The sequence below is a fragment of the Homo sapiens genome, chromosome 10, assembly GCF_000001405.40.
Source record: "Homo sapiens chromosome 10, GRCh38.p14 Primary Assembly".
NCBI classification, from domain to species: Eukaryota; Metazoa; Chordata; class Mammalia; order Primates; family Hominidae; genus Homo; species Homo sapiens.
The window spans coordinates 82,391,197-82,405,314 of record NC_000010.11 but is presented as its reverse complement, the minus strand read 5'-3'; the positions used below and the strand labels follow the sequence as shown (position 1 = coordinate 82,405,314).

The window sequence follows — 14,118 nt, the reverse complement described above, 5'->3', positions numbered from 1 at the left end:
GCATGCCACTCTCAGCACAGGGTCTTTGCAAGGGCTGCTCTCCCTTAGATGCGCTTGCCCCTGGTATGCACACATCCTTCTAATTCACTCTCTTCCTTCAAACATCACCTTCACATATCTAATATAATATGTGACTTGCCAAGAGAGGCCTCGTTCGACCACTTTTCTGAGGTCTTTTTCACTTTGTTTAGTACCCTCATTGTCCTCAACCACACACCATCCCAATTTCCTTTGGAGCACTCCTTCATTTGTTCCAAATATTCATCAGAACAGAAATTGTGGATCATTCTCTCACCACTCTAGACCCAGCTCCTAACTCAGTGCAGCAGGGACTTAAGCGGTTGGATGAGTGAAAGATTTAATCCACTCATCCTCAGCAAGTCTTTGTAAAGCACTCTCGCTCTACCAGAACCTGTGCTCCATGCTGACAGGGAAAAAAATGGCAAAATGAGGAGTATGTCATAATCTCAAGGTGCTCTCAGACCAGCTAATGGCATTTAATGCAAAAATGGGTGTCCTTTCTGTTTACAACCATGTTCATTATAGCGCATTAACTCAGACCCCATAAGATTAACTGTAATAGACTCCAGTTATGACATGTGGCATCCTAACTTTGAAAATTACTAATCCCTTAGCAAATATACAGAAATAACTATCTCAGAAATATTTTCCCATAACTTAGGAAAGCTTTTATGTAGTAAAATGTCTCTCTATTTATTACCCATTCATCCTTCATTCATTCATTCAATCATTCATTCAGCAAATAAGGTACAATATAATGATTGAGATAGCAAGATTTGGAGTGAGAAAATGTGGTTCTAAATCGCAGCTTCTCTATTTAGTCATGTAACTTTGGCAAGGCTGTGCCTCACATGGACTGGCTGTAAAATTGGATAATAATAGAAGTGAGACATTAGGTGAGGTTAAATTAGAACCTCATAGTCCCAGCAGACACTAGCCCCTGAACAGCTGCATCCTACCCAGGCTTCTTACTAAGGTCGTCTTGGGGTGGCACAGTACCGTGCTACCCTTTGCAGTCCAATGAGTACCAAGAAAAACCATCCCGAAGGGGTGAGCAATGCAGTCTTACACAGGTTTGTGAATTTGAATGACCCAAGTCTTCCTAGTCTGTATTCAGATTAACCATTTATACTAAGGTTTGAATGCCTTCTCCCTAATTGTGATAAATACTTGGAAAGAATAAAAACCTAAAATGTCAGAAAGCAAACAGTCTTGAGCATGAATGGCAGAGCTCACTTTCAGCCTAGAAGTTAGTATAATTCCAATATCTAAACCTTTAACCTCACAACTTAGGTCAGCAAACCTCAAGTTACAAAATTCCATAAATAATTCAGGGCATACAAAATTGTTTTTCATATATTAGTTCACTTTTAACCCCCCAAAAAATTTGTTGAGGTTGAGGGTTTTCCCATTTTACAGATGGGAAAACTACGACCTAGAGATTTGGAATTGTATGTCCAAAGTCATATTATTGATAAGATATAGAAATGAGCCCAGAAGGCAGGTCTGATAAAGGAGAGTTCATACCCCTCTCTGCCATTGTCCCTCTATTTCTAAATAAGCAAAAGCAAGCACTCGACAAAGAATTCTGCACCCTCTTAAGTGTTTTCAATTCTAGAAATATCCCCAGGAGGAAGAACCATATGAAAACTTAGAGGCTGCTATTTTTCTTTCAAACTATCTTTATTTTATATCAAAAGCTCATGTTTTAAATCATGTGCATTAAAATAGATGTCATTGGGGAAAATGTTTAAATTTCAAGATTCAAAAGTGATTTTGAAATATGTATGCCCTTTTCAAGCTGAGGAAGAAGAGTGACACATAATCTATAAATTATAGTGGAATATTGTTAATTCTAAGGAAAATCTGGAAGGGCTGTTGCCAATTAATGAATCTTGCAAATAATTAAATGACACAAAATGTTGGCTAAAGGGCAGTTTCTCTGAGTGGGGGAGGAGTGTGTATTTTTTTGCTGCTGAAGACAAGATGCGGATGACAATCTGGACCCTATTCCCGAAGACTGTGAAAGGATTTACAAGGTTTGAATGATGGGATGCTCAAATGAATAGAGTGTTCACTGAGAAAATAGAGTCAATATTTCATCATTAAGTCAATGCTTTTATGAAGTCCCATGGAAGCTCCTCTGGAAATAATTACCTAGCATGAAGGCTTCCTTGTGTCTTCACGTGTTTCAGACAAGAAGGCATGTCACGTCTTTTCTGTGGTTGTACATTACTCATTCTTGACCTCATCCTAGGAAAGTTATTTTTGCAAAGATCACATAGATTCCTTTAAATTACAACAGCTATGAACAACAGTTGCTTTGAGTAAGCTATCTTTTTAAAAAAAGTTAAAAACTCAATTATTGAGATACATTTCAGCTGTCATTTCTGTCAAAATCAAAAGCAAAAATGAGAAAGAGGATCTCACAGAAAATAACTTGGGACCAAATCCAAAAACACAGTGATCAATTTTTGCTGGAATGATGTCTTCAGTGTCTTTACCAGCAGGTACACACACTCACACACGCACAGGCACCCACATAGACGTATTTGAATCTAATTCTGAATGCCAAATAATAACTAAAAGTTTTATTGATTTCTTTTAAAATTTAGGTAAAAGAGGATATTATAAAAAGATTCAGGTTAGTGATACTGAAAGAATTCACTGCACAATTCACAGGCTGTCCCTGGAAAGATGAAGAAGGAAATAAATGAGTAAAAAAATTCTCACATAGTAAATATGACTTAAAGTTCTAAAGTCGTACCATCTGGCCTGTTATACTGTGTGGGTCAGTCTGTACCTGAGGAACCTGCTTGAGCAACAGCTGAAAATAAATAAACAAACACCAAATAAAAACAACTTCTTTGGTTAGAAAAGGAGAAAAGCTTGTTTTTTCCCCCAAACTCAACCTTCTGATTACTAACTAGGCACAGCTATAGACATGACTTTATTTTCTTCTTGGCCTGAAATTTCAGAAGGTTCATGGCTGAATATTGTGGTTAACAGAAGTGACATTCTATTTGGGGAATCATAACTACCAGCACCCTTATTTCTATGACTATTTATTCTTAATAAATAGTATTCTTAATTAATGTACAGCTTCTCAGTGGCTTCTTTAAAATAGATATGCCTCTTATGATAACATAAGAGGCTAAATATTTATAATCAGAAGATTTCAAATGCTTTCTTTCTAAAGATGTTTCTTAGAAAATGTCAACATAAATAAAATCAAATTTAATAATGAGGTTTTATCATAGAAACCTAATTTGATTAATTACTGTTGATATTTCTCAATATCAGTTGGATTTTATACTAATTTTATTGCATATAAACTTTGTTTTAAATAACTGAGTAAAGCCAATAAAGCAATAGAACATCATCTTACAAACTTCTAGGTGCTCTCATATTTTTATTTTCTATGACTTTAAATTAATTACGATATCTGATTTTCCAAATTAATGCCAAATAAAAACTTTATAAATCTTAAGAAAATGAGGTTGAATTACTAAAGGCAAATATCAAAAGCAATTTAATTCAAATAAAACTGAAATAAGAACATCAAATAATTCAAATGAATTATTTTTGTGAATTGACAAGATCTAGGGCCCTAGGTATTCTAAGATCAAGAATTCCATAGCCCCTATTATTAAAAATTTTACTAACAAGTAGAGAAGCAAATCAATAAGCTACTCTAAGTGTCCTATATCCGGGTGCCCCTCATGTAAGAGAAGGGAAGAGAAAATACTGTGTGATCTACATGATCTGTGGAATCAAAGTACATTCAAAATACCAAGCTGTCCTGTGATCCTGCCTCATACTGTATAGAATCTGTGCATACTTCTCTCTATCTAGAAGCAAAAGATAGATATCAAAATATATGTATATGTGTGTGTCTATATATAATGTGTGTGTGAATATACACATACATATTCATATATACATATAATTTATATACATACATTATATATAGCTACACACCCATATACATGTGTATGTATAAATTTTGTATATTATAGATTTATATTGCATATGTATACAATATAACATATATAAATACATGCACATATACATTCTTATGTGTTTATGTGTAAAATCTTCTTCAGTCTTCTAGGTTTAGCTTACCAGACACCTCTTTTTGGGAATCATCCTCATTTATCCATTTGGAATTACTCATAGATATTCTGCATTCCAGGAAGCCCTGAGTGGCAGAGACGGTGGTGGAATTCTTTGCCTCTGTCTGAGAGTGTGTTGCCATTAGTACTGAGTCTCATAGTCATCCTTGTGCACATCTCATTCTCCCCACTAAGCTGAATTGCCAAACCCAAGGAAGAGATAGCACAGGGTGGCAAGATGCACTTGCAATTTTGAACTAAACAAATAACAGTTTGATCTTTTCTCCACTGAGAGTCAATCTGGGCCAGGCATGGTGGCTCATGCTGGTTAATTCCAGTACTTTGGCAGCCTGAGGCAGCAGGATGGCTTGAGCTCAGCAGTTTCAGGCCAGCTTGGGCAACATAGCAAGACCTCATCTCTATTAAAAATAAAATTAAAAAAAATTAGCCAGGTGTGGTGGTGCATGCCTATTGTCCTAGCTACTCAGGAGGCTGAGGAGGGAGAATCACCTGAGCCCAGGAGTTTGAGGTTGCAGTGAATTATGATCACACCACTGCACTCCAGACTGGGCAACAGAGCAAGACTCTGTCTCAAAAAAAAAAAAAAAGAATCTGCCTCATGTACTTGACCGAGTTACTTCACCTCTCAACCCCAGCTTTTCTGTTTGATCCATGGATCAGCAGCATGTGTGTCATCTGAAGCTTGTTAAAAACAGAGAACCTCAGGTTCTACCTAGACCTAGTGAATCTGAAGCTGCATTTTAACAAGATCAGTAGTTTATTTGTATGTAGATAAAATTTTGAGAAGCACAGTTCTTAGGAACCATTCATATTCTCACCTATGCAATTTAAATAACAGTAGCCAACACCCAGGGATGCTGAGAGGATAAAATATACATCTAGTGCTTAGCCCAGGTCCTTCTGCGTGGTGTGTGGTTGATAAGTGGTAGTATTTTCAGATTTTATTACTAACATTACTGACAATGCTGTTTATTACTAGATAATTTTATCACTTAAATTCTCTGAACTGCATCTCTAAAAGTGGGATAATTATATATGTTATCTATGCTTTGCTTTCTTTTTCTAGCGATTAAATTATTTAATATCTGTAAACGATCAGATATAGTGTTTGCTCACTGCTAGTTATCTTCTCCCATTCATCTCCCTTAAGGGCAGACATCAATTTGAAGGCTTTCAGAGAGCAGGTATTTGTTGAATGGCATAGAAGTACAACAGAGGAGTTTTAGATGCCTCCATAATCCTATTTCTGTAGATAAATTTATATATTTCCAAATGCTAAATTAAATAAAGGAAACAATTAGCAAATGCCTATGTGCCAACAACCATGTTGATGATTTGTCTGTGATTCTGCTTTGGCTCATATAAATCTCCACTCTCAATGCCTTGCTGTTATAGATTGCATATTTGTGTCCCCTCAAAATTAATATGTTGAAACTCTAACCCCCAATTAGATGGTACTAAGAGGCGAAGCTTTTGTGGGTAAACCCCCTATGATAGGATTAGTGTCTTTTTAAGAAGAGGAAGGGATTTAGACATTTATCTTTCTGCCCAGTGAAGACACAACTAGAAGTTGGCAGTCTGCAACCTGGAGGAGGACCCTCACCAGAACCAGGCCATGTAGGCACCCTGATCTCAGGGATCCACTCTCCAGAACTGTGAGAAATAAATTTCTATTGTTCATCAACTACCCAATGCATAATATTCTGAGATAGCAGCTCGAACTAAGACACTTGCCTATTGATACTCCTAGTATGGGAAATACAACAGTTTCTGCTGTTGAGTTTCAGAATAGCTAAATTTTCTTCTGACATCTTAAGAAAGATATTTTGTATTATACTTTTATTTATTTACATGTGCCCTGGGTTTGAGTTGGTGTAATTCCCTTCTATTTGGTACGTCTAGAACAAATAAAAAAATTATCCTGTCTTTCATCATAGCAGTAGTCATTTTGGTCTTTTATGTTTCTTTGCTTATTAGGTGAATGTACTTTTTCAATGAAAAATATTTGTTAATTATCATGATTCTAATTTAACTAAAAAGGAGGCATGTATTCCAGATAGTACAATGAATAACTGTGCTAAGAATAAATGGCAGCCACAGTCAGCAATGTCAAAATTAACTATCACTTGTCATAGTCTCAGAAATTGTAGAAGTTGTTAAAGCATATTTCAATACAGTCTTGCATTAAATCCTTTGGAAATACTCTAAGCAATTGGTGTATCCTGCTTCCTTCTGTACTTAAGTGGGGGTGAGAAACTTGCAGTAGGAGGAATGCCTTCATCAAGTCGGAAAAGCAGCTCAAGCTGATTCCTTCTGCCTCATTTCCAGGGCATCATGGCAGGTCCTGAAGCCCAGGAATGATCACTGGCGGAATTTTTGGTACTACCATAGGTTTGCTTCTCTATATTATGTACTCAAATTCCACTCACCCTTGCTTTGCTATAAATGTGCACATTTCTTGGGCCTTTTGGAAGTGACTTTTACCTTTCCCGTTTTCTGAAGCACATGTTAAAATGTCGGTTTGTTTACTTACTATGCCTAAATTCAACTGGGGAAACAAAAGAACTTGTTAACCTCTTACTGATTTCACCGTTGCCAGGCACACACTCATACTCTCTCTCTCTCTCTCTCACACACACACACACACACACACACACACACACACATACACGAAGCCAAGATGACTAGAAGATCCCAGTTGGAACCAAAGTTGTTTGATCTCACTTGTTCAAATTAGCTTAGCCCTCTTCAAAACTCCTTTTAAAATTTGGGAGAGGCTATATTGACCTAACAAAAGGTATTGAAAAACAAGCCCTGGGTTTTCAGTAACCTTCCTAGATTGTAATCACTTCCCTTCATTCCAAAACCTCTCTCTTTCTCTTGCTGTCCACAGCTGACCTGTTAGCTCCTATTTGGTTTCTCTCCCCATAGTCTAGCTCTTTCACAGGACTACTGCTGCTGAGTCTGGCCTTGGCTTTCCCACTTCCCTTGATTCTGTTAGTTCTAAGATCCAAGGGCCACTCCAGCGAGCCCTGCAAGCCTAGCCCAAGCCCTGGGTGTCTGGCACTCTGACTGTTGCATAGATTAGATGCCATTGCCTAAAGGAGAGTTTCAGAGAGAGTCTAACCTAGTGATTGACAGGTCAGAACTGGGCTACTCTCCTTGCATACACTGTAAGTGCTCAAAGACAGACTGCCCTTTGTGGGTGAGAAAAACAGCAGATGCCCCCAAAGCCAGCAGCAGGAGGTCTTCCTTGACCTTTCTTTGCCCCTCTCTCAGGAGGCAGCTGGTATTTGCCTTTTACTCGCTGGGATAAGATGGCTCTCATTAAACGTCTGAAAGATAGTTTAGAGGAGACAACAGTTACTCTTTTCTCTTTGTGAAGAGGGATGTTATCTATCTTAAAAAGAAAAATATTGGTTTAGCCTCCTTACCACATATTTCCTGGGAGAGTATGGTATTTTGCCCTTTTGCATTACAAAGTGTCCTTGTAAAAAATAAGGTAACAAATTCATTTTTGACAGGCATTTAAAACCCTGGCATTTAGAAGCTGGCCAGTGGCTTTTGCACTGACTCTAGATTAGAAATGTCTAAAAGATACTGAATGGGACAAGCAGAAATTGTCATGAGTTAATATTGTCACAATGATACATATTCAGATCATTTCTTCCTAATTGGCTCACTATGTTTAATTTTATTTCTTGCTTAGACAAACCATGTTCTCACTATGAAATGCAAATGTTTCCTTTCCTTACAAGATGAGTTTGCTTTTCAATGTATACATTTTGTATTCTAAATAATAATTCAACTTCAAGATTATCCACATAATTTGGGAGCACCTTTTTCTTCCCGATGAGCATTCTAAACCAGGCATGAGGTCTGGCAAACCAGATTATACAATATTAGCATTAAAAGTTCCAGGCTGTGGAGGCAATAGTCTTAGGAGTCTAGACATTTGCAAGAAGAGAACAGACACCCTGAGAAAAGTAAGGAGGCCAAAGGGAGACCATTTCCTTCCAAGATGGGCAAATTACTATCTGAAAACTCCCAGAGGGACACCAATTGCCCCATGCTGGGGAGAAGGATGACAGACACAACAGGAAGGCACAAAGCTCACAGGAGAGGCAGTTCTCCTGACATTGGAGACTCACAGAAAGACAAGAATGAGAAAAGTTACAGAGCCTGTGATTTGGAAACAGAGACTACAGATTCTAAAGGGTTGATAACAGATTCTAAGGGGTTGATAGCAAATTCTTTAAGTGACCATATCCAGCAGCTATAAAGCATTGCTATTACCTTTATAGGAAAAAAGACTTAGAAATCCATAGTTTAACCACATGCACACACACACACACAGAGTGAGAGAGGGACAAATAAATATGGTCAGTCCTCACTGAGCACAGTTTAATTAAATAACACCAGTCACCCAACAACACAGTTCAAATTTAAGTTACTCCATTACCTTAATTGCAAGTAATTACATAAGCTACAAACTTCTTTGCTAGCTCTTCAGTCAACAAATCACTATGTAAATAACAGATTCATGACCAATGACCAATCACATCACTTCTTTCTAAGTCAGTCAGCGATTGGTTGCTGTGCATATATTTGTTCATGAGTAGACGGCAAGTGTGTAGCTGTGTTGCCCCCTTTTCCCCCAGGGATAAACTCATTTATCAAATGGACAATTGAAAAAGGGAACTGGTCAATAAAGATGAAAGAACAACAAAGAAACAAAGAGTAATAAATCTGGAAGTGGAATTTGAATTAAATGTAAATGAAATTATAGGAGCACTAGGTGACCTTGGAAATATTGGCACTTCTGCCATTTGGGAGCTTCCATTATGCAGCTAGAGGAACTTAGTAAAGGGAAAGTTATTGATATAAATATGGAAAGTGGTAGTGACAAGAAGGATGAAAAAAAATGTTCCAGAGGCAGCGAGGGAGGACAGCAAAAAAATCTTCACATTAAGAAAACTCTTGGGGATATTTCACACCATGAAAATCTCAAAAGGATAAGATATTGGAAACTCATCCAGTCTTTGAAAGGAGTATGGCAATTTGCCAAGGCTTAAAAAACTCATTCCCTCCATACTACAGATTACATAACCATGAGAAAAAGCCAAGCCCTGTTCAAACCGCTCCTGATAAGATTTTAATAAAGAAATAAAATACTTAAATTCTTAATGTTTCTAGTATCTTAAATTACATTTTACTAAATAAATATTAGTCTTTCTATTTTTTTATTTCTCTATATCTAATGGTAAGAGCATTTTCAATGTTTTGACAAAAATGTTTAAAGGTCATGGGGCAATAATAATTTCTCCTATTTATTATTAAAATCACATTGCACTGACTCAGCTTTAATTGGTCATGTTTACATTCCCACATGACTGTGGAAAGCAACAGTGCCTGGATTCATAAGTGGATGAATGGGTGGATAGATGGATGGATGGGTGGATGAGTGGATGGATGATGAATGGATGGATGATGGATGGATGGATAAATGGATAGATGGATGGATGAATGATGGAAGGATGAGTAGATGATAAGATAGACAGATATATAATGCCATATTGTCTATAATTTACTTTAAAAGACTTCGGCCTAGATCAGATAAACTATAAGTCCATATTATTTATTCTGGTTTTACACAACTAGGATAAAGGTATTATCCCAGCTGTGTGTACCTGACATATGGACAGTCTACTAAGGGAGGGATCTATCCCTGAATTTCAATCAGGTGAGCAGAATCCTGCCCTGATCATATTTTCACATCTGCAATGTGCTTGGTGGAGTGCCTGAAAGAATTGGTTGTATAATTTTCTGTGTGCTTACTTGCTGGTATGTGTTGGTATATATGTACGTCAATTAACTATTACCACAATAACGTGCAACAAGCTTGATATATCAGTGACCTACACCATATTTCCCATGACTTAGGGAATTGTGGGCTAGCTGAATTTCAGCTGATCTTGCATTTACGCGTTGTACTTTGAGGGTCTCATTTCAATGAATTGGCAGCAGCTATCTGGCATACGTTCTTCTCATGGTGGTGACAGAAACTGAGAAAGCAATTCCAATTCATGAGCCCATTTCAGGCCTCTACTTCCAATTATCTGCAGACTCCCCATTGACCAAAGCAAGTTACACATCTGAACCCCAAATCAAAAAGTGGGGAAATTGTGGACCCACTATGAAGCATGGCTAGGTTGTGCTTAATACTACTGGGAAGGGATGAATTGAGACCGATAATTCATTCCACAGCAGCACAGAAGAGTTCAAGCTAAGACTTACTTCCATTGTAATGTAACACCTGGCAGTTGCAAAGCTGTGGGAGAGAGGACCTCAGGTCCTCATCTACCACTATGAAGGCTACTGTGGAGAGTCAAAATAACCTATTAATTATGACAAACCACATTAATTAAAATCAATTTGTAACGGATGGTTTGAATGCTGTCATTCTAAAATTAGATATTCTCTGTATTTTACTAATGGTTTTAATAAAATACTGCTGATATGAAAATTAAATAAAAATAGAAGATTGGCTGGGTGTTTTAGCCAAATGCCATTTCAGAAGCTCTGTTGCTTTTCCCTAGCTCTGTGCACCAAGTGGTGTTTGAGGAACCACAGCAAAGAAGAGAGTAGAAATGGAAAAAAGAGCCCATTCCATAAATTTCTCACTATCCCAGACTGTGGATGTCTCACCCTCTAAATGGGAATCAGGCCCACAGTGAGTTTGCTTCCTGATTTGTTCCTCCTGTGTCTACCCATTATCTGCCCAAGCTATTACATGAGGGAGCTTTGCTTTGGCAGCCTGCCTAGGGAGGAGGCTGGGCACATCTCAAGCCTCGCGGGTGCCCGCTCATCGTAGTCCTGCTTTGTAAATGTGCTCCTGCATCTGTTCCTTAGAGGACTGGAGAGCATGCCAAGCAGAGTGTGACATGAGAGAGGAAGAAGAAGCCCCCTCACGCTCAACCCAAAGGGAAATGCTCTGTTTAGGCTTCCTGTTAGCTCTGTGTCTGCCAGCATGTTGGAGAAATAGCACAGTGTGATGTTATGGAGGGGGACCTGGGCTCAGAGACACAACTGGAGACAAAGCATACTAAATAGCAATACACAGCCTATACACTGCATTAGGATTTGTATGGGAGTGTGTAGGTGCAATTATACATAGGATATTGGAATAAAAAGGTGAATAATCACTTGGCAGGCACATGGAAGAATCTCTGACCACACAAAATACCCTCTGCATACAATAAAGGGAATAAAACAGTTCCAAATATGAATTATCATAGAGTGCACAGGTACCAGCAGGACAGTAAGTGGATCCCTAACAGGAGCTTGCTGATGACCATTCCATTATTCTTTTAATAAGCACTTATGAAAACTGACCAGGGGCCCACATCTACGCCAGGAGCAGAGGTCTAGTTGCCATGCATATGCTGCTCCTCTAGAGGTCTACTCTTGGTAGTAGGAGTGAATCGAACAGCTGACTCACTTATGTTTCTGGTGATATGATTATTCTAGTTTATCCTTCCAGATAGCACATGCATTCCTAAGGGACAAAATGAAGATGGGTTCAAACACAGCTCTCTATTTCCTTATCCTCAGCATGGCAGATTCCTAACTTCCTTACAGTATTTCATTCCCTCCTGGCAATGACTTCTGTTGTTCTCTTTCCAGGACTTTAATCCTTTCTGTCAGTCAGTCCATGTCAATCAGTCATATTGGAACAGCCTAATGCTAACTGTACACAGAGCTGAGTCTTTCCCACAGGGCTCCTTCCTGGACCCCATGCAAATTACGGATGCACCTGTCTCCTCGGTCTTTGAAAGTGAGATGAGAAGTCAGAGCCACACAGTATCCTAATCTCAGCATAATCCAATTAAGACTCATGTCTTACTTCTGTTTCAGTTTCTTTACTTCTGAGGGGTCTTCTAGGAAAACACTACTTAAGGCAACTACACAATATCCCCTCCGACTGACAGCTACACCTTTGTCTCAGTGTTGATACTTTGAATTGCCAAAGGGTCCAGAGGGGTTCTGTGATACAGGTTTGGAAGTATAGACAAACCATACTTAAGAAGTCAGAGCATTTGATCAACATTCCATTTTAACCCATTCCTGCAGAAAGGTGAGCTACTCCTGATGTCAAGGAATTATCTACAGACATTCTTCAACAAACAACTTTCTTAATCTTTCAGATTAAGAAAATGGCCATAACTGTCACTAAAATCATATGAAGCCTGCAAAAAATATATATATATATATATATGACCTCACCTCCAGCAATATGGGATTTGAACAAACACTGCAGCCTGCAGATAACACTCCTTGCAGTGTGGAGTCCATTCAGCACAGCTTTTCTTTTTCCTGGTTAGATCAATATCTCACTGATACATGTTCTGCCAGCCAAGCTATAATGCTGCATTCTTCCAGGTCTCCATAATATAAAGTGATTTAGTGCTTTCAGCTTGAAAGATATTGCAATGAACACTGTGATTTGTAAAACAAATGGGCTATTGTCCTAAATAAGTTTAAAATTACATAGACCTGAGGAAATAAGAGTTAACTAAAGTTTTAATGCTCTTAGCCTATTTTCTGCTTAGCAATTTATACAGACACATAAGCAATTCAACTCAGAAAAATGCAACAGTAATTTATCGCCAGACTCCTTCATACATAATTTCCTTAACCTAATGTACCTTTTGGCATTTATTAGTACACAAAGTCAACTTCCTACATACCCTTCTTTCATCCAAGCAACTGTCTATATATTTCCTGGACCTATAAATCATTGCATCCTAAACACTTGGTCTATCAGAAAAAAATATGCTAATTGTAGAGGACAGCATACCCTGTATTGAATGCTAGTGGCATTTTGGCATATTATTTCTCGCTTTATCACAGAAGCATGGTAGGAAATAGAAATGACGGGAGCACTACAAGCCAGAGGAATCTAGGCAATACATTGAAAAGCTGCCATCTCTTATTCTCAGTTCACATTGGTGAAGACAGCAGAGTGTGATAACAGTAGATGGGATATTTTCATTTAATCTTTTACATGTATTGGCTTTGAAATGTGAGTGGAATTCACATGGGGCAATTCTAATGCTTTTCCTAGTTTCGTGGGTTTTTTTTTTGTTTTTTTTTTTTTTTTTGCATGTGCTCGAAAGAGGATTCAACTTTGGCAGCACTACTGATGAGAATTGCTACAACCAAGAGAGAGAAAAAAGAGGCAACCTGGATGAGAATTTTAAAAGCAACTTGGTCACAATCTGAAGATTGTATGGCTGCTTTTGCAGAAGACCTGTAGGTACCTAGAAAGGGTGTGTATTATGTAAGGTCTATTTCAACTGCTGTAGTATAGAGACTGAAGGAGAGTGACTAAAAAACACACAAAAGCTTATTTCTTCCACACATATAAGTCTTTAAATATGGATTGGTGAGTGGACTCATTTTTTCCCCAAAAGTTTATCCCCTTGGGCATTATCCTCATCTGCATGATTGGAAGGTGGGTCATAGTCATTCCTGTGACCACACATGGGAAGGGGAAAGACAAAGGGATTCCATGGCAAAGAGCTTTTATTTTATGTGGAAAATGCCCCCAAATTACATATATCACTCCCACTTATGTTCCGTTGGCTCTAGTTTGGCCACGTAGCTTCACTAAGTTGCAACAGAGGATAGGAAATGTGGCCAGGTGCAGAGCTGACACACTGCCTGCTGACTCTTTGTTGACATTTAAAGAGCATTTCTAAACTGATAATTTACTTTTCAAAGGTTTTTCCAGGTTCCCTTAACCCCTTATACCTCTTTTGTGTTCTTTCTGTTCTGGGCCTTCCTTTCTGGCAAGGTGGTATGAAAAGTAGCATATTCCTTCTCAGACAGAGAGGCTTTAAAAGAAGCCTCACAAAACTCTACCTCATACCCAAACCAGGGCTCTTTGAAAGTGCTC

At 38.2% G+C, this 14,118-nt stretch overlaps 1 protein-coding gene across 25 annotated transcripts in view, besides 1 other annotated feature; it reads right to left on the bottom strand.

Annotated features, from left to right (window-relative positions):
• Positions 1 to 14,118, bottom strand: part of NRG3 (neuregulin 3) — a 1,111,986-nt gene that overhangs the window by 581,865 nt on the left and 516,003 nt on the right. The gene's annotated exons all lie outside the window — the stretch shown is intronic.
• Positions 7,973 to 8,474: an enhancer, noted in NCBI's record as "NANOG hESC enhancer chr10:84156597-84157098 (GRCh37/hg19 assembly coordinates)". NCBI's record gives its function as "activates a minimal SCP1, AML or CMV promoter by ChIP-STARR-seq in naive and primed H9 embryonic stem cells {active_cell/tissue: H9 hESC(naive and primed)}" and the evidence as "EXISTENCE:reporter gene assay evidence [ECO:0000049][PMID:30033119]".